Source organism: Homo sapiens, chromosome 1 (genome assembly GCF_000001405.40).
Source record: "Homo sapiens chromosome 1, GRCh38.p14 Primary Assembly".
Lineage (NCBI taxonomy): Eukaryota > Metazoa > Chordata > Mammalia > Primates > Hominidae > Homo > Homo sapiens.
The window spans coordinates 9,976,814-9,996,122 of record NC_000001.11 but is presented as its reverse complement, the minus strand read 5'-3'; the positions used below and the strand labels follow the sequence as shown (position 1 = coordinate 9,996,122).

At 47.5% G+C, this 19,309-nt stretch overlaps 1 protein-coding gene across 10 annotated transcripts in view, besides 1 other annotated feature; it reads right to left on the bottom strand.

Moving 5' to 3' along the window:
• Positions 1–19,309, bottom strand: part of NMNAT1 (nicotinamide nucleotide adenylyltransferase 1) — a 53,970-nt gene that overhangs the window by 770 nt on the left and 33,891 nt on the right. For 4 of the 10 annotated variants that reach the window (NM_001297778.1, XM_017002107.3, NM_022787.4 and 1 more), the window contains exons 4-5: positions 14,953–15,092; positions 10,625–13,822 (exon numbers count right to left, since the gene is read on the bottom strand). In NM_001297778.1, coding sequence (NP_001284707.1) covers positions 13,422–13,822; positions 14,953–15,092 — 541 coding nt within the window. In that variant the 3' untranslated portion in view covers positions 10,625–13,421. Of the gene's footprint in view, positions 1–10,624; positions 13,823–14,356; positions 14,868–14,952; positions 15,093–19,309 lie in introns of those variants that run through there. The other 6 variants (XM_047428077.1, XM_047428082.1, NM_001297779.2 and 3 more) reach the window with 3 other exon arrangements.
• Positions 4,558–4,852: a silencer, noted in NCBI's record as "tiled region #14190; K562 Repressive non-DNase unmatched - State 21:Repr". NCBI's record gives its function as "represses a minimal TATA promoter and a strong SV40 promoter by Sharpr-MPRA in K562 cells {active_cell/tissue: K562}" and the evidence as "EXISTENCE:reporter gene assay evidence [ECO:0000049][PMID:27701403]".

Below are 19,309 nucleotides of genomic sequence, written 5' to 3'. Positions count from 1 at the left end.
AGCCAGGATGGTCTCGATCTCATGACCTTGTGATCCGCCCGCCTTGGCCTCCCAAAGTGCTGGGATTACAGGCCTGAGCCACTGCGCCCGGCAGAGAGGGAGTCTCACTCTATCGCCCCGGGCTGGAGGGCAGTGGTTCCATCTCGGCTCACTGCAACCTCCGCCTCCCAGGTTCAAGTGATTCTCCTGCCTCAGCCTCCCGAGTAGCTGGGATCACAGGTGCCCATCACCATGCCCAACTAATTTTTTGTATTTTTAGTGGAGATGGGGGTTTCATCATGTTGGCTAGGCTGGTCTTGAGCTCCTGACCTCGTGATTCGCCTGCCTCAGCCTCCCAAAGTGCTGGGATTATAGGTGTGAGCCACCGCACCCGCGGTATTTATTTTTTCATTTATTCTTTTTATTTTATTTTATTCTATTTTATTTTTTGAGACAGACTCTCACTCTGTCGCCTAGGCTGGAGTGCAATGGTGCAATCTTGGCTCACTGCAACCTCCGCCTCTTGGGTTCAAGCAACTCTCCTGCCTCAGCCTCCTGAGTAGCTGGGATTACAGGTACCTGCCACCATGCCTGGCTAATTTTTATATATTTTAGAAGAGGTGGAGTTTCACCATGTTGGCCAGGTAGGTCTCGAACTCCCAACCTTAAAAGATCCACCCACCTAAGCTTCCCAAAGTGCTGGAATTACAGGCATGAGCCACCACACCCAGACTGACTATTTTTTGAGATAGAGTCTTGCTCTGTTGCCTAGGCTGGAGTGCAGTGGTATGATCATGGTTCACTGTAGCCTCAACCTCCTGAGTTCAAGTGATCTTCCTGCCTCAGCCTTCTAAGTAGCTACAACTACAGGCATGTGCCACCATGCCTGACTAATTTTTTTAATTTTTTATAGAGATGGAGTATCCCTGTGTTGCCGGCGGTTGGTCTCAAACTCCTAGGCTCAAGCAACCCTCCAACCTTGGCCTCCCAAAGTGCTGGGATTACAGGTGTAAGCCACTGTGTCCAGCTCAAGATTTATATGTCAATTTATGACCTCTCCCATGAGTTCCAGACTCAAATATAATAAAAGCTAGCAGTCCGTGCATGGTAGCTCACACCTGTAATCCCAGCACTTTGGGAGACCGAGGTGGGTGGATCACCTGAGGTCAGGAGTTTGAGACCAGCCTGGTCAACATGGTGAAACCCCATCTCTACTAAAAATACAAAAAATTGGACAGGCGCAGTGGCTCAAGCCTGTAATCCCAGCACTTTGGGAGGCTGAGGCGGGCAGATCACGAGGTCAGGAGATCAAGACCTTCCTGGCTAACATGGTGAAACCCTGTCTCTACTAAAAATACAAAAAAATTAGCCGGGCGTGGTGGCGGGCACCTGTAGTCCCAGCTACTCGGGAGGCTGAGGCAGGAGAATGCGTGAACCCAGGAGGCGGAGCTTGCAGTGAGCCGAGATCGCGCCATTGCACTCCAGCCTGGGGGACAGAGCAAGACTCCGTCTCAAAAAAAAAAAAAAATACAAAAAATACAAAAAATTAGCCAGGCATGGTGGCGGGCACCTGTAATCCCAGCTACGTGGGAGGCTGAGGCAGGAGAATCGCTTGAACCCAGGAGGCAGAGGTTGCAGTGAGCCAAGACCGTGCCATTGCACTCCAGCCTGGGCAACACGAGCCAAACTCTGTCTCAAAAATAATAAAATAAAAAATAAAAGCTAACATTTGGCTGGGGACAGTGGCTCACGTTCGTAATCCCAGCACTTTGGGAGGCTGAGATGGGTGGATTGCCTGAGGTCAGGAGTTTGAGACAAGCCTGGCTAACATGGTGAAACCCCGTCTCTACTAAAAAAATACAAAAGTTAGTCAGGTGTGGTGGCACACGTCTGTAGTCTCAGCTCCTGGAGAGGCTGAGGCAGGAGAATCACTTGAACCCGGGAGGCAGAGGTTGCAGTGAGCAGAGATTGTACCATTGCACTCCAGCCTGGGAGACGGAGTGATTCTGTTGCAAAAAAAAAAAAAAAAAAAAAAAAAAAAAGCTAACATTTGTTGAGTGCTATGTGTATTATTATTTGTTGCAAAATCCTACTTCTCCAATAGTTATTTTATTAACTCCCTTTGACAGAGCTAAAAACTGAGGCATAGAGAGGTTAACTAACTTGCCCGAGGTCATATAGTTGGCAGAGTCTGGATTCAAACCCAGGTAACCTGCCTGCACGTTCAGTGCCACCTCTCGCCTCCTACTTGACGTCTCCACTTGGCTATCTTAAAGGCATCTGAAACTTGACGCAGCTAAGCTAGAAAGTGTAAGAACAAAATTTTTTCCAGCTCTCCTTATCTCCATACATTCCATTAGGCCCCTGGATGCTCAAGCTAAGAATCCAGTAGATTTGTGAATTTCCATCTTCTCTGCTGGCCAAAATCCAGTCCCTCAGCAAGTCCTCTTGGTTCTACCATCTTAACCCAAGTCCCCATCATCTCTTGCCAGGACCACTTATAAAAATCTTTCATCTGGACCTGCTGCTTCCCTTCTGAGTCCCTCAAAACAATTCTCCATACGCAGCCCCGGCAAGCTTTTAAGGAATGTAATTCAGATCTTCTCACTCCTTGCTTACAGCCCTTCAGTATTGTCCTGTCTTTCTTTTTTCTTTTCTTTTTTTTTTTGAGATGGGGTGTTGTTCTGTTGCCCAGGCTGGAGTGCAGTGGCACAGTCTTGGCTCACTGCAACCTCCACCTCCTGAATTCAAGCAATTCTGTCTCAGCCTCCCGAGTAGCTGGGACTACAAGCGCATGCCACTACACCCGGCCAATTTTTATATTTTTAGTAGTGATGAGGTTTCACCGTATCGGTCAGGCTGATCTCGAACTCCTGACCTCAGGTGATCCACCCACCTAGGCCTCCTGAAGTGCTGGAATTACAGGTGCGAGCCACCGCTCCTGGCCTGTCCTGTTTTTCTTAAAAGGAAATTTGCACTCTCTCTCATGGTTAGGTTCACAAAGTCCTTCCTGGTTTGGCTCCTGGCTACTCCTCCACCAGCAGTACATCCTGTCTCCCCCAACTCAGTTCCTCTAATCACATCACACCCTTTCCTTCAGAGTCTTGGTATTTGGTGTCTCCTCTTTCTGAGATGTTTTTCCTCCTAGTTTTTGCCTGGTTAGCTCCTTTGGCTTCCAGCTCAAAAGTCACTATTAGGGGTACAGTCTTTTCTTTTCTTTTTCTTCTTTTTTGAGACCAAGTCTCGCTTTGTTGCCCAGGCTGGAGTGCATTGGTGCGATCTCCACTCACTGCAAGCTCCGCCTCCTGGGTTCACACCATTCTCCTGCCTCAGCCTCCTGAGTAGCTGGGACTACAGGCACCCGCCACCACACCCAGCTAATTTTTTGTATTTTTTAGTAGAGATGGGGTTTCACTGTGTTAGCCAGGAAGGTCTCGATCTCCTGACCTTGTGATCCACCCACCTCGGCCTCCCAAAGTGCTGGGATTACAGGCGTGAGCCACCACGCCCGGCCATAGGGGTACAGTCTTTTCTAGTCATGGTCTCCATGGAGAGGAATTGTCCCTAAACGCCCCTGGCCTCTGCTCATCCTCTTAGGATTGGAACAACTAGGACTGAAGGAGTGCCTGGGACATGGAACTCTTGCTGCTAACATTGGAAAAGCCCCTGGTAAACTGGGATGAATGCTTGCTCTCGGGGCAACAGCCACTGAACCGTTTTCGTCAACTAGGTAGAGGTAATCTATAAAAAAATTATAATCCTAGGCTGGGCGTGGTGGCACATGCCTGTAATCCCAGCATTTTGGGGCCGAGGAGGGAGGATCATTTGAGCCCAGGATTTTGAGATCAGCCTGGGCAAGATGGCAATGTCCTGTCTCTATAAAAAATAAAAAAACTAGCTGGGTGTGGTGGTATGCACCTGTAGTCCCAGCTACTCGGGAGACTGAGGTGGGACGATCGCTTGAACCTGGGAGGTCGAGGCTGCAGTCAGCCGTGATGGAACCATTGCACTCCAGCCTGAATGACAGACTGAGACCGTCTCAAAAAAAAAAAAAAATCTAAACCTAAAGTATTTATTTACTTACTTATTTATTTAGAGACAGAGTCTCGCTTTGTCACCCAGGCTGGAGTGGGGTGGCTCAACCTCTGCCTCCCAGGTTTAAGAAATTCTCCTGCCTCAGCCTCTAGAGTAGCTGGGATTACAGGCGTGAGGCACTGTGCTCAGCCCTTTTGTTGCTTTTTTTTTTCGTCTTATTTTTCAGTTGGTTTAGAATGTGGACAGAAAAGTACTTGGATATCTTCAAGAACTTGAGAGCCATCTTCTCAGAACAGCCTTCCTATATGCTCCTAATACACACTTACTCCACATCACATCTCTGCTTACGTCCTTTATCATTATTATAATCCATAATTATCTTTTTTCTTTTTTATTGACTGCCTTTTCCATGAAGCTTTCCAGGGCAGAGCCCATGTTGATTTCATTCACCACTCCTGTATCTCCAGGGTCTAGCACAGTGCCTGGTAAGTACTCAATAAATGTTTGTTGACTGACTGACTGACTGGCTATGACCTTTTCCAAGGGAGAAATGCCATTTTCATTGAGAAGCCAGAGTGACATCACCTTGCCCATAATGAGCTAGCTGTTGATTCTCATAACTGTAAGACATAGATTCCAGGCTTGGTGCGGTGGCTCACGCCTGTAATCCCAGCACTTTGGGAGGCTGAGTTAGGAAGGTCACTTGAGGTCAAGAGTTCAAGACCAGCCTGGCCAACAGGGTGAAATCCCATCTCTACTAAAAACAAAAATTAGCCAGGCTTGTAATCCCAGCTACTGGGGAGGCTGAGGCAAGAGAATTGCTTGAACCCGGGAGGCAGAAGTTGCAGTGAGCTGAGATTGCACCATTGCACTCCAGCCTGGGTGAAGAGGCAAGACTTTGTCTAAAAAAAAAAAAAAAAAAATTCAGCTGACTAAGAGAACAGGATATGCAGAAATCTTACTTACTTCCTATTCTTAAAATCTTATTGTTCTAAAACTTGGCCTGAAAATGAAAATCACAGAAAAAACTAATAATAGTTTTAACCTTCGTGCTGGTTGGTATGGCTTCTGGCCAGCTTGAGCAAGGGTCATCTATTATGGACAGGATTTAATTTCAGCTGAAGTAGACATAGACTCCACTTGCCATAGGATAAGGAGTAATTTTTTTTTTCTTTACAATTCTAATATCTTCCTAGACAGGACTCAAGGTTATCTCTGGAAGGAGAAGCATAATTTATTTGGTCAAATTTGAGCCCTTTCTTTCCTTCTGTTTGGTGCTGGCAAAGTAAACCAGAAGATTACAGCCAAGACTGAGGTCCTAAACCTGTGTACAAGCACTGTTCTTCCTAGACAGCAATGGATGGGGATTGCTGAGGGCCACTTTATCATGGAACCTCTCATCTGTTGCTTGATGGAGTCTGATGCTGGTTCAGCAAAGACTGGCATGGACCTTGTGGTGGACTCCACACCATCCATACCTCCCCTCCCTACTGCAAGAATGCAATGCCAATAGGCAGTTTGGTCTGGCTCCTGAAGGTAGACCTGGATTAGTATCAGGCTAAACCAATCCCGGAAACCCTATTAGCTTAGCCAGTGATCAGCTTTAGGGAGAAGCAGGTTTAAATGACTGAATCAGCCAGTGAGATGCGATGAGGAGTTTGAAAGGGCTGTTGGAAAAGATGTTTCTTTGATTTTAACAGAGCCATGGGGAGCCATGAGGAGTCACTCCTGAACATGAACTAGGAAGCCTGGCTACTGGTGACCCTCCTATAACTCAAGGGCACTAGATTTAAGACACTGTGACTGGAAGTGTAGAGGGATGGAAAGAACCCGGGTCCCCGATGACAGTGTTGACTCACAGCACCTACAAACCTACACACCTTCCATTCTGCCCTATGTCTGTACTTCTGAGTATAGATGTCCGTGTTTAGATCACTTTGAGTTGAGCTTCCTGCTACTTGCAATGAAAAAAAATTCTGATACATTTTGAAGCAGGGTATTTCCCTGACCCCTTCATTGGCAGGAACTGGAATGCAGGGGCGCTGGAACTAGCCAGCCACTTTGGCGCTGGCAGGGGCCATTCCACTCACTTGGACCTGCTGTGTTCCACCCCTTATGGGAGGCGGAGCATGCAGGTGAGCGGGTGCAGGAGCTGGGGCAAGTGCTTTTGGGCACCTGAAGGAGCAAAACTTTGTGTGGGCCCCGCAGCAGCATCTGGTGAGGGTGCCTGCAACCCCTGAAGCCCCAGAAGGGGTGTTACAATGCCCTTTTAGCTTTGCTGTGGACAGCTTAAGTGTTAACAGCTCAGTGGAGGGTCAGTGTGACAGGCTTTTGTACCCGCACTTGTGGTACCCAAGTTCTTGTCCAGTGTCCAGGAGGAATGAGGTAGCACAAATGAATTGAAGATGGTAAATGCATGGAAATTTATTGCCAATGAAAGTGACTCTCAGTGGGAAGAGGAGCTGAAAGGAGGATGGAGCAAGAAGGTAATCTTCCCCTGAAGTCCAGCCGTCCCTGGCTGGACTCCTCTTCAAAGCTACACCATGAAGCTGTCCCTCTGAAGTCAAGCCACTTATTTCTGCCGTCCAACCGTAGTCTCCAATATCCAGCTGCTTCTCCACTCTCTGCTGGCTGAGCTTGGTTTTTTTTTTTAGACTGAGTTTTGCTCTATCACCTAGGCTGGAGTGTAGTGGCGCGATCTTGGCTCAGTGCAACCTCCGCCTCCTGGGTTGAAGTGATTCTCGTGCCTCAGCCTCCTGAGTAGCTGGGATTACAGGCGCCCGCCACCATGCCTGGCTAATTTTTGTATTTTTAGTACAGGTGGGGTTTCGCCATGTTGGCCAGGCTGGTCTTGAACTCCTGACCTCAAGTGATCTGCCCGCCCTGGCCTCCAAAAGTGCTAGGGTTACAGGCTACTGTGCCCAGCTGAGCCTGGGGTTTTCATGGGCACAGGATGGGGGGTGGGCCATGGGTAGTTATGGAAAAGGCAACTTTCAAGAGGGCAAACAGGGATGTAAATGCTCACTTTGGGCCATAGTATCAGGCTTTTCAGCTCCAGGTGGGGAGCCCTCATTGGGGACCCACCCTCTTCTGCCCAGAATTTCTCTGCCTCCTTTCCTTAGCAATATCATAAATAAAATCAAGGTACTTTTGGCTGGGCACAGAGGCTCATGTTTGTAATTCCAGCACTTGGAGGGGCAGAAGTGGGAGAATCACTTGAGGCCAGGAGTTAGAGACCAGCATGACAAAACCCCATCTCTACTAAGAATACAAAAATTAGCTGGGTGTGGTGGCACACGCCTGTGATCCCAGCTACTCAGAAGGCTGAGGCACGAGAATCACTTGAACCTGCGACCATCTCAAAAAAAAAAAAATCAAGGTACCCTTTTTTTTTTTTTTTTTTTTGAGATGGAGTCTCGCTCTGTCACCCAGGCTGGAGTGCAGTGGCGCGATCTTGGCTCACTGTAACCTCTGCCTCCCCAGGTTCAAGCAATTCTCCTGCCTCAGATTCCTGAGTAGCTAGGACCACAAGTGCCTGCCACCATGCCTGGCTAATATTTTTGTACTTTTATTAGAGACGGGGTTTCACCATGTTGGCCAGGCTGGTGTCGAACTCCTGACCTTAGGTGATCCAAATGCCTTGGCCTCCCAAAGTGCTGGGATTACAGGCATGATTCATCACACCCAGCCAAGGTACCCTTTCTTCTTAAGCAGCTTTCTTATGATTATTTATCCATTTGAGAGCAAAATTATGGTTCAGTTTCGAACATGCTTAAGTTGCTGAAGATATAAATGTTAAATAAAATACTACTTTGGTTGGGTGTGATAGCTCACACCTGTAATCCCCACACTTTGGGAGGCCAAGGCAGGTGGATCATTTGAGGTCAGTTTGAGATCAGCCGGGCCAACATGGAGAAACCCTGTCTCTATTAAAAATACAAAAGTTAGCTGGGCACGGTGGTGTGCGCTTATAATCCCAGCTACTCGGGAAGCTGAGGCAGGAGAATTTCTTGAACCTGAGAGGTGGAGGTTGCAGTGAGCTGAGATCGTGCCACTGCAATCCAGCCTGGGTGACAGAACAAGACTCTGTCTCAAAAAAAACAACAACAACTAAAAAAACCATACTTCATGCTAGACCAGCTTATGAAGTGGGAAATAAGTAAGTAAATAAAAATTTTGAAAATCACTTTATGAATACTATTGTCTCAACAAAAGTGTGGCTGGAGACTTGGGTCTTCTGCTTTGGTGACATTGATACTTTTAGCTGCACTATTTCATTTTTTTTGAAACAGGGTCTCAGCTACACAGGCTGGAGTGCAGTGGGGTAATCACAGCTCACTACGCCTCCAGATCCCAGGCTCAAGCAATCTTCTCACCTCAGCCTCCCAAGTAGCTCAGACTACATGCACAAGCTACCATGCCTGGCTAATTTAATTTAATTTAATTTAATTTATTTATTTATTTATTTTGAGACGGAGTCTTGCTCTGTCACCCAGGCTGTAGTGCAGTGGCACAATCTCGGCTCACTGAAAGCTCTGCCTCCTGGGTTCACGCCATTCTCCTACCTCAGCCTCCCAAGTAGCTGGGACTATAGGCACCCGCCACCTACGCCCGGATAATTTTTTGTATTTTTAGTGAGACGGGGTTCCACTGTGTTAGCCAGGATGGTCTTGATCTCCTGACCTTGTGATCTGCCCTCCTCGGCCTCCCAAAGTGCTGGAATTACAGGCGTGAGCCACTGCGCCCTGCTGCCTGGCTAATTTTTAAAAAAATTTTTGTAGACACAGGGTCTCACTCTGTTGCTCATGCTGGGCTCAAGTGCTCCTCCTGTCTTGGCCTCCAAAGTGCTGGGATTACAGGTGTGAGCCACCGCACTGGACTTAGTACACTTGTTTTGTTTTTGTTTGTTGAGAGGGAGTTTTTGCTCTTGTTGCCCAGGCTGGAATGCAGTGTCATGATCAGGGCTCACTGCAACCTCTGCCTCCTGGGTTCAAGCAATTCTCCTGCCTCAGCCTCCCAAGTAGCTGGAATTACAGGTGCCCGCCACCACGCCCGTATAATTTTTTGTATTTTTAGTAGAGACAGGGTTTCACCATGTTGGCCAGGCTGGTCTTGAACTCCTGACCTCAGGTGATCCACCCACCTTGGCCTCCCAAAGTGCTGGGATTACAGGTGTGAGCCACTGTGCCCAGGCTGAGCCACCATGCCCAGCCCTGTTTTGTTTTTTGAGACAGGGTCTGGCTCTGTCACCCAGGCTGGAGTGCAATGGCGCAATCTCAGCTCACTGTAACCTCCGCCTCCTGTGCTCAAACCATCCTCTCACCTCAGCCTCCTGAGTAGCTGGGACTACAGGCGCACACCACCACACCCAGCTAATTTTTGTATTTTTGGTAGAGACAGGGTTTTGCCATGTTGCCCAGGCTAGTCTAGAATTCCTGGGCTCAAACAATCTGCTGCCTCTGATTCCCAAATTTCTAAGATTACAGGCATGAGCCGCTGTGCCCAGCCAGTACATGTTTTTTGTTTATTTGTTTGTTTTTCTAAAGATAGGATCTTGCTATGTTACGCGGGCTGTTCTTGAACTCCTGGGCTCAAGCAATCCTTCCACCTTGGCCTTCCAAAGTGCTGGGATTACAGATGTGAGCCACCAAGCCTGGCTGAGCCACCACGCCGGCGCTAGCTGATATACTTGTATTAATGTACAAATTGGACTCTAGCATTCCTCACACTGAAGTATTTATGGGTAAAATTACACATTTGGGATTTGCTTTAAAAGACTCCAGCAAAACAAAACAGGTGTAGATGAAGATTGGCAAAATGTTATGCTTGAAGTTAATGGGTACGTAGGGGCTCATTATACTATTACCACTAATTTTGTGTGTTTGCTATTTTCCCTAATGTTTTACAATGTAATTGTCAGGTTATCCATTGTTTTGGAAAAATTTATTGGGCGGCTTAACTTGATTTGGGAAATACTGTCCACGGCAAGTCATTTAGACTTGGTAAGACACGTGAGGGAGAAATGGATCTGAATTCCAGTTCTGAAACCGAGGTGACAGTTTCATTAAAGGATAGCAAGGGGACAGTGATCATCCCTGCAGAGTCAAAACAGAGAATAATGGGACCAGGCACCACTATGACAGGTCAAAAACCCTATCTGGGCAGAGCGTGATGGCTCACACCTGTAATTCCAGCACTTTGGGAGGCCAAGGTGGGCGGATCATTTGAGGCCAGCTTTGCCATCACGGTGAAACCCTGTCTCTACTGAATATACAAAAATTAGCCAGGCGTGGTAACACACGCCTGTAATCCCAGCTCCTTGGGAGGCTGAAGCAGGAGAATTGCTTGAACCCAGGAGGCAGAGGTTGCAGTGAGCCGAGACTGTGCCACTGCACTCCAGCCTGGGTGACACAGCAAAACTGTCTCAGAAGCAAACACACACACACATACACACACACACAAACACAAAAGTTAATTATGGCCCATATCACCTTCTCCCTCGGATTCCACTGTTCTAGTTCCAAGGAATTGCTAACACTGGGCAAGTTCAGCCTAGTCCTTCCGTGAGGACTGAATACGTCGGACTCATCTCCATCAGACTACCACAAACTGTTGTTGAAAGCTTTATTTGTCCTCACTTAGGGTAAATGAAAAATTTCAAGATTTGGCTACAACTTCATTCTTTGAAAAGTAATATTTTACAGAAAGAGAGATTAGGGGTACTGGCTCTGAAGACAAAGCTTAGATTCAAGCTCAGCTCACCATTTATACCAGTCCCCTGATTTTGCCGTTTCCTTATGATATAAGGCACTCAGGAGCACAAGCCAAGCACACAGTAAGTGTTCAGGAAGTGCTGACATTATGAAGTTCAAACAGCACCACTGGTAAACGAAGTTCAGATTTCAGAGGTGGAGACTGTGTACGCAGCCTCACAGCTGAGTGGATGCCGTGGTGAAATGTTTAGATCATAGGCCTTTGAGAAAAATTATGAGAATGTTAGAGGAATGGGCCTCCGTTGGCACCCAGAAATAAACGTTAAAGGAGGCTATTTCATCATATAACAACTTCTGGACTTCTAGAAAAGTGAAAAGAGAGGCTTGGGTAAGGAAGATGAAAGCCCTCCCACCACCCTGCATGCTGACCTAGGGCATCCTTCCTTCTACTCTGTTGTTAGATCCTCATGATGGCCAAAAAAAAGCATTCTTTAACCTAAACCATCCCCATGGCTCAATCTCTACCCCTTCATCACCAAGGAAAAGCCACTTCTCTTATCTGAAAGGCCTGCTGTTCACATAAGCAAACACTACCACAAAGGCTCTCCATCATCCGAATGAAGATGCCAATCAAGGACTTTTACTGCAGGTTTGTTTGCCACTTTCAAATTACACAATGTAAGGGGTAAAGGGTACAACACATAAAACCCCCAGCATCAAACAAACAGGCCAAACAAAACACCAGCATCACACATTTCCTCTAAATTGACAGTACAAAAGCAAATTATGGAAATGATGCAGGAGGGAATAAACAATGGCATATTTTCTTCACGTCAGTCATTAATATTTATTCCCCTGTGAAATTCATTGTTCTAACTTCCATTATTCAAAGTGGAAGTTCTGTCCTTGAGGACACCCAAAATTATGCTATTACGTGGCAGCATCAACAGCATCCTCGGCGTTGGGAGAAAAAGCCAAGCTTGTTCTCTGTACAAAGCTTGTTCTTTGTACAAAGTTGTTGCTCCATAAATAGTGCAACAATAGGATCAGGCTGGGTGCAGTGGCTCATGCCTGTAATCCCAGCACTTTGGAAGGCCGAGGTGGGCAGATCACCTGAGGTCAGGAGTTCAAGACCAGCCTGTCTAACATGGCGAAACCCCATCTCTACTAAAAATACAAAATTAGCCGGACATGGTAGTGGGTGCCTGTAATCCCAGCTACTCAGCAGGCTGAGGCAGGAGAATTGCTTGAACCCGGGAGGCGGAGGTTGCAGTGAGCGGAGATCGCACCACTGCACTCCAGCCTGGGAGACAGAGTGAGACTCCATCTCAAAAACAAAAAACAATAGGATCATTGTACCCTTACCAGGGCTCCTGCAAGGGTCCCCACATGCCTTGTCCAGTGAGGTCCTGAGGTCAGTAGTCACAGCTGAGCAGGGCACAGGCACTTCTGAGTAGGAAGGCACGATAGTATGAGAGAAGTTTCCAGCATTGGAAACTTTCTGCAGTTTACGTGACACTTCAGATGAACTAGGTGTAGTTTCCCAGAGGAAGTCCAAATTCAGTTCTGATAGCTTCATCTTGCTCTATCATTACTTTTCAGGACTCCTTCAACTCTTAAACTCCAAGAAGCTAAGGAGGAGAAAATGACCCTCATCTGTATGATTTGAGGCTCCAGCCTTTCACTAACTTGGCAGATGGATCCTGAAACCTGCTAGCTGTCAGGCTTTTTTTTTTTTTTGAGATGGAGTCTCGCTCTGTCACCCAGGCTGGAGTGCAATGGCACGATCTTGGCTTACTGCAACCTCTGCCTCCCAGGTTCAAGCGATTCTCCTGCCTCAGCCTCCCAAGTAGCTGGGACTACAGGAGCCCACCACCATGCTCAGCTAATTTTTTGTATTCTTAGTAGAGATGGGGTTTCACCATATTGGCCAGGCTGGTCTTGAACTCTTGACCTCACGTGATCCACCCACTTAGGCCTCCCAAAGTGCTGGGATTACAGGTGTGAGCCACCACACCCGGTCTTTTTTTTTTTTCTCTTTGAGATGGAGTTTTGCTTTTTTGCCCAGGCTGGAGTGCAGTGGCACAACCTTGGCTCACTGGAACCTGTGCCTCCCGGGTTCAAGCGATTCTCCTGCCTCAGCCTCCCAAGTAGCTGGGATTATAGTTATGCGGCACCATGCCTGGCTAATTTTTTGTATTTTTAGTAGAGACTCCATCTCAAAAACAAATAAACAAACAAAAACTTATTTTAGCTTACCATTGATTTTTACTAAATTTTTTTTTTTTTTTGAGACAGAGTCTTGCTCTGTCGCCAGGCTGGAGTGCAATGGTGCAATCTTGGCTCACTGCAACCTCCACCACCTGGGGTCAAGTGATTCTCCTGCCTCAGCCTCCCAAGTAGCTGGGACTACAGGCACGTGCCACCACACACAGCTAATTTTTGTATTTTTAGTAGAGATGGGGTTTCACCATATTGGCCAGGATGGTCTCGATCTCTTGACCCCGTGATCCACCTGCCTCAGCCTCCCAAAGTGCTGGGATTACAGGCGTGAGCCACTGTGCCCAGACGATTTTTACTAAACTTTTAAGCTTTAGTTTAGGCAACAGATCACAACTTCTTTCCCCAGTTATTAACTCCCAGATTGTTTCAGATCCCCAAATGGGAAGTCTGAAATATCATGCTGTAGAATTCCTATGTCTTAGCTTCTGCAGTGTTTCTCTGCAAAGGGGCCAGGATGACCCCAGCATTCCTGTCTTCACTCTCAGAGCTGTACAAATTATGCTTTTCAATGTATTCTTGGACAAGATCTGGTACCAAGTAGCGAATGCTCTGGCCCCTTCTGAGGGCTCTCCGGATTTTTGTGGATGAGATGTCATTAGCGATCCATTCATTCACCACGTGAATGTTGCTCCGGTGTTTCCACAGCACATCCGATTCATAGATAAACTTCTGAGCATCATTTCCAGCCCGAGTAACACATATGAGCCCATAGTTGGCCACGATTTGGGTGATGTCTTCACTCTTCCACAAATTGGGAACAGCAAAGGACTCCAATAAATCTGCCCCACACAGCAGCTTGACCTTTGGCACAGCTGGGAAGAATAAAACAGAGCTTTGGGGTATGCTTTTTCTTCCCCTCTACCTCCTCCAAGTGGAAAGGGGTTTACTTTTCTAATAACCCACTGTATCAAAATGAAGATACGTATGTGCTTTTCAAGGATGAGGGCTTAGGCCGAGTGCGGTGGCTCTAGCCTGTAATCCCAGCACTCTGGGAGGCCGAGGCGGGTAGATCACTTGAGGTCAGGAGTTTGAGACCAGCCTGACCAACATGGTGAAATACCGTTTCTACTAAAAATACAAAATTAGCCGGGTGTGGTGGCGCACGCCTGTAACCCCAGATACTTGAGAGGCTGAGGCAGGAGAATCACTTGAACTCGGGAGGCAGAGGTTGCAGTAAGCCGAGATTGTGCCATCGCACTCCAGCCTGGGCAACAAGAGCAAAACTCTGTCTCAAAAAAAAAAAAAGAATGACAGTTCACAGTTTTTATGAGCTTTTATTTTATGAGAATCAGATTCCCAAAAGAGACCCAGGACACCTCAAAGATTAGAGACCACTGCAGGAGAAATAAGCTCCAAGTGCCTTTTATTCTCCTTCACTTCATGCAACTAACAAGGGGCATTTTCCAGACACCCACAAGTATGCAATATAAAATGAAAATAAAGGCCAGGCATAGTGGCTGACACCTGTAATCCTAACACTTTGGGAGGCCAAGGCAGGAGGACTGCTTGGGGCCAGGAGTTCAAGACCAACCTGGCCAAAATAGTGAGACCCCATCTCTATAAAACAAAAAAAATAAGGCCCAGGCGCTGTGGCTCACGCCTGTAATCCCAGCACTTTGGGAGGCCGAGGTGGGCGGATCATGAGGTCAGGAGATCAAGACCATCCTGGCTAACATGGTGCAACCCCGTCTCTACTAAAAATACAAACAAATTAGACAGGCGTGGTGGCAGGCACCTGTAGTCCCAGCTGCTCAGGAGGCTGAGGCAGGAGAATGGCATGAACCCAGGAGGCAGAGCTTGCAGTGAGCTGAGATCATGCCACTGCACTCCAGCCTGGGTGATAGAGCGAGACTCCATCTAAAAAAAAAAAAATACACAGGGGTTTGCTCAGCTACAGAATCTTATCAACTCTAGTCCGTGGGTCCTGCTAAAACATACAAACCTTTTGTTTTTGGCTCTAGGGATTTCTTTTGACTAGAATCTTGTGTTTCAGTCCACTTCCTCTTCCTTCCAGGCCTTTCTAGAGTAGGTGAGTTCTGCTGGTGATCACAGTCACTAGCCTCCAATTTCTCTTGATGGTGTCTATAAAACAACAAAACAATAGAATATTTCTCTTTCTCACATGCTCCATTAGAATATATCATTAACATTATTTATAGCTGGGCACAGTGGCTCACACCTGTAATCCCAGCACTTTGGGAGGCCGAGGTGGGCGGATCACGAGGTCAGAAGATCGAGACCATCCTGGCTAACACGGTGAAACCCCGTCTCTACTAAAAATACAAAAAATTAGCCGGGTGTGGTGGCGGGCACCTGTAATCCCAGCTACTCGGGAGGCTGAGGCAGGAGAATCACTTGAACCTGGGAGGCAGAGGTTGCAGTGAGCCAAGACCGCACCACTGCACTCCAACCTGGGCGACAGAGTGAGACTCCATCTCAAAAAAAGAAAAAAAAAAGAATATCATTAACATTATTTATTTATTTATTATTTTGAGATGGTGTCTTGCTCTGACGCCCAGGCTGAGTGCAGTGTGTGATCTCAGCTCACTGTAACCTCTGGCTCCTGGGTTCAAACAATTCTCTTGCCTCAGCCTCCCGAGCAGCTGGGATTACAGGGGCGCACCACCACGCTCAGCCAATTTTTTTTTGTATTTTTAGTAGTGACGGGGTTTCATCATGTTGGCCAGGCTGGTCTTGAACTTCTGACCTCAAGCGATCTGCCCGCCTCAGCCTCCCAAAGTGCTGGGATTATAGGTGCCTGGCCAACATTATTTATCATATGCCACACATTACACTGAATCCTTTACATGGATTATCTGATTAAGTCTTCTCAACATAAGATGACTGTTGTGGAAGACTAAAAAAAATTAAAAATCTTCTCGACTGGGCGTGGTGGCTCACACCTGTAATCCCAGCACTTTGGGAGGCCAAGGCGGGTGGATCACCTGAGGTCAGGAGTTCGAGACACAGCCTGACCAACATGGAGAAACCCTGTCTCTGCTAAAAATAGAAAATTAGCCGGGTGTGGTGGCACATGCCTATAATCCCAGCTACTCGGGAGGCTGAGGCAGGAGAATCGCTTGAACCCAGGAGGTGGAGGTTGCAGTGAGCCATGATTGCGCTATTGCACTCCAGCCTGGGCAACAAGAGCAAAACTCCGCCTCAAAAGAAAAAAAAAATCTTCTCAACATCCTATATCATAAATATTATTATCTCCGTAAGGGAAGGAGAAAGGAGGCTTACAGTTGCTACTCCAGCTCCTAGCAGAGTCTATGAGGAGGCATTCAATAACAATTTTTTTTTTTTTTTTTGAGATGGAGTCTCACTCTGTCGCCCAGGCTGGAGTGCAGTGGCACGATCTCAGCTCACTGCAACCTCCGTCTCCTAGGTTCACGCCATTCTCCTGCTTCAGCCTCCCGAGTAGCTGGGACTACAGGCGCCCACCACCACGCCCGGCTAATTTTTTCTGTATTTTTAGTAGAGACAGGGTTTCACCATGTTAGCCAGGATGGTCTCGATCTCCTGACCTTGTGATCTGCCCGCCTAGGCCTCCCAAAGTGCTGGGATTACAGGCGTGAGCCACTGCGCCCAGCCTCAATAACAATTTGATTGAGTGAATGTTTTGGGGTTTTTTTGGTTTGTTTTTCAGAGACACAGGCTCACTCTATTGCCCAGGATGGAGCACAGTGGCACAATCATAGCTCGCTGCAACCAAAACTCCTGGGCTCAAGTGATCCTACCGCCTCAGCCTCCCAGATAGCTGCGACTACAGGCACGTGCCACCATGTTCAGCTAACTTTAGTTTTTTGGAGAGATGAGGTCTCACTATGTTGCCCACACTGGTCTTGAACTCCTGGCCTCAAGCAATCCTCCTGCCTCAGACTCCCAAAGTGCTGGGACTATAGATGTGAGCCACCATGATCAGCCTGAACATTTTGGTTATTACAAAGCGACTATATTACTGCCACCTTGCAGCTAGTTTCACTGAAAATACTTCTGGTTTTAATGTGCTGCTCATCTCTCATATCAGAATTGTTTATTACCCCATTGACAGAGGACACTGACTAATTTGCCTAAGGTCATTTAACTTAAAAGTATTAATAGCAGAGCCAGGACTTGAACCCCAGCAGTCTGGTCCAGAGCCCACACTCTTGACCATGGAAGAGTGTGGCTTAATCTTGTGACAAAGAACCAGAACGCCAAGGAGAAGGTCCTAGAGCGGCAAGGGCCTGAGGCCTTAAAGGAAGGGGCCCTAAGCAGGATTTGTGTATAGCTCTATTCTGGGCTGGCAGCAGGGTGCCCACTGTTTTCAAACTGTGCAATGTTACCCAAATAACATCAACTACACTTGTGGGATCCAACTGTGGGCCTTTATTCCCCTACATCCCAACCCTTCTGAGCAGCTGAGTTGACTATTTAATGGGCAATAAGGTTACTATAAAGCCAGAGGGTCGGGTAGGGCTGTGGCCCAGGAACTTGCTCCCTCATGGGAGAATTTTTTGCCATCAAGCAGTGGAGACTCTTCTCCCTGCCAAGTCTGAAAAGGAAGTCCTCTTGAGAGATCACTGTGTGAGATACTTCCTACTGACTCAGTGCCCAATCCTGCCCAACACACTTCCCAGAGGTCCTTGCAGCAGGCTGTGGACTTGACTGCGATTTCTGCTAATGAGATTCTCTCCTGAGAGATTTGGAAGGCAGAAGGAGGACAGAGGCCATCATCCTGGGACTGTGGAGCCTGACAAGTAATCTTTTTTTTTGAGACGGAGTCTCACTCTGTCACCCAGGCTGGAGTGCAGTGGCGCAATCTCGGCTCACTGCAACCTCCACCTCCCGGGTTCAAGGGATTCTCCCACCTCAGCCTCCCAAGTAGCTGGGACTATAGGCATGTGCCACCACGCCTGGCTAATTTTTGTATTTTTAGTAGAGACGGGGTTTGCCATGTTGGCCAGGGTGGTCTCGATCTCCTGACCTCAGGTGATCCACCCACCTCGGCCTCCCAAAGTGCTGGGATTACAGGTGTGAGCCACCATGCCCGGCCTGATCCTATTATTGCGCTATTTATAGCCAGTAATCCTTTCTAGTGTGGGTGTGGTGGCTAGACGCTGGAGTCCACTGTCCGTCACCAACTTCAGGAGACTGAGACAGTTCAATAGCAGCAGAAGCGGAATTGGTTTGTTGAACTCTGACGGCAACATCGGAGGAGTGACCCTGACTTCCACTTCTCCAGCCCTTTTACTTTTTTTTGTTGTTGTTTTTTGAGACAGTCTCATTCTGCTGCCCAGGCTGGAGTGCAGTGGCACAATTTCAGTTCACCGTAACCTCTGCCTCCCAGGCTCAGGCAATTCTCCTGCCTCAGCCTCCCTAGTAGCTGGGATTACAGGTATGGGCCCAGCTAATTTTGTATTTTTAGTAGAGACAGGGTTTCACCATGTTGGCCAGGCTTGTCTTGAACTACTGGACTCAGGTGATCTGCCGGCCTCAGCCTCCCAAAGTGCTGGGATTATAGTCATGAGCTACCACGCCCGGCCTCAGCTCTTTTAAGTACTTTTTGCCTAAGTACTTAAATCTCTTTCCACTTAAAATATCCAGAGTGGGTTTCTATTTCCTAGTCTGAACCCTAAATGATACAGTCAGTCACTGGAAAGTTCAGAACTCTAAGAACAGATACTAAACAGAAAGGCTTTTCAGAAAGCCCTTTCATTTTAAACTCAAGATAACAACAGGCCAGGCATGGTAGCTCACATTTGTAATCCCAGCACTTTGGGAGGCCTAGGTGGGAGGATTGCTTGAGGCCAGGAGTTTGAGATCAGTCAGCATAGGCAACATAGCGAGGCCCCATCTCCAACAAAAAAAAGAAAATAAAGTTTAAAAAAATCAAAATAACATTAAGAGATAATTAGGTGTCAGCCAGGTGCGGTGGCTCACCTCTGTAATCCCCGCACTTTGGGAGGCCCGAGATGGGCAGATCACCTGAGGTCAGGAGTTCAAGACCAGCCTGGCCAACAGGGTGAAACCCCAGCTCTACTAAAAATACAAAAATTAGCCGGGCGTGGTGGCAGGCGCCTGTAATCCCAGCTACTTGGGAGGCTGAGGCAGGGGAACGGCTTGAACCCGGGAGGCAGAGGTTGCAGTGAGCCAAGATCATGCCATTGCACTCCAGCTTGGGCAACAAGAGTGAACCTCTATCTCAAAAAAAAAAAGAAAAGAAAAGAAATAATTAGGTGTTGGGAGGCTGAGACAGGTGGATCACCTGAGGTCAGAAGTTCAAGACCAGCCTGGCCAACAAGGTAGAACCCCAT